Source organism: Homo sapiens, chromosome 11 (assembly GCF_000001405.40).
Source record: "Homo sapiens chromosome 11, GRCh38.p14 Primary Assembly".
Taxonomy (NCBI): domain Eukaryota; kingdom Metazoa; phylum Chordata; class Mammalia; order Primates; family Hominidae; genus Homo; species Homo sapiens.
This window is the reverse complement of record NC_000011.10, coordinates 98,197,175-98,198,668: the sequence shown is the minus strand read 5'-3', so window position 1 is coordinate 98,198,668 and position 1,494 is coordinate 98,197,175.

Below are 1,494 nucleotides of genomic sequence, written 5' to 3'. Positions count from 1 at the left end.
AAGTACTATTGCACATAAAGTATAAAATATTTTTTCTTTATAATTAAGTTTAGTAGACAGAGGAAAAAAATAAGACCTTTGCTCAAAACATGGTGTTTTGTGCTTAAAAATTGAGTGTGTGTATTTTTTGAAATTATCACTCATGTGGAAATGTTTCAGATTAAAAAATGCAAAATAAGAATATATTGAATATTCGTAAAATAATAGAGTAAAATAATTAAGAATCACTTTGGATAGAATGCTATGAGACAACTGTGCTTAGCACATGAGAAGAGTTATTAAAATCCAGAACTGTCTTCTATAAGTTTTCTCTGAAAATAAAAAGTTGCAATGCAATTAATATTTCTTTGTAAACAACAAAAGTGATATTTAGGGTTTGAAAGACTTAATGCTGCAGTAAGCTAATATTAAAAATAATTTATTATGACCTGCTCAGTATTATTCACGAATATCAAGGTGCCTATTTTCAAAACAGGGCTAGAATAAACTCAGATGTACAAGAAACTTTTAAATACTTTCTATCCTTCCTTCCATCATTTCTTCTTCTGAGTAAAATGTCTCTATATTTGCTTTTCTATACTGTTGATCTATCCTATTTTTGGTTAGTATTTTCTTTAAAATAATGTTGTTACACACACATTCCTAGCCCTTTCTCTTCCACTAATGCCCACACCGATAAGATATATAAAATTTATAGAGACAATGCTTCTGAGTATGACAAAAATGCAGATGTAAATCATTCATGGAAATGTGGAACAATTGAAGAAGCCTAGAGAATGTATACAAGTATTGGAAACTACTGAATCTTTGTTAATTGTTCTGCTCTGAGTCAGGCTTGTGAAACACCCATGGTATGGTAGACAAAATGAAGGTAATAAAATGTCCTTGTCTCTGCATCTTGCAAGTGGTCCAATGTACTTAAGGACCCAAGTGTATATACGCCAATTAACAGAAATCTGTGAATATTAGAAAAGTACTCAATCTCATCACAATGGCTAATTCCAGGTAGGCATAAATTACTAATATGTAATTAGTGGAACTAAGCTAAACTCTAGCAATTGATAATAATACAAGTTTTACAAGAATCTGAACTAGAAAATTTAAAGTGTTTAAATTTGATAGTGATTATACAGTACTAGTTAAAGGGAAGAGACTCAGAGTTTAGTATTATTAAAAAGTAGACAGTATTGTAAAGCTGTTCCAATATTTACATGAGCTTTTCTTAGTATGCAACCACCTTTGATGATTTCACAGGCACAATTTCAAACGTCAGTTTTCTTATCTGTAAAATTGTCCCAATGATTTAATCTATCTCATAGGGTATATGAATTAGATGAAATGATGCATGTAAAGGGTTTATTACAGTGTCTGACAGGTAACATGCACCAAGTAAATGGTAGGTATGTAGTCATAAAATGCTAAAAATAATTTACCATATACTTACTATTGGTATTATAAATTATATGAACTCTAAATAGAATACGTCATTTGCTA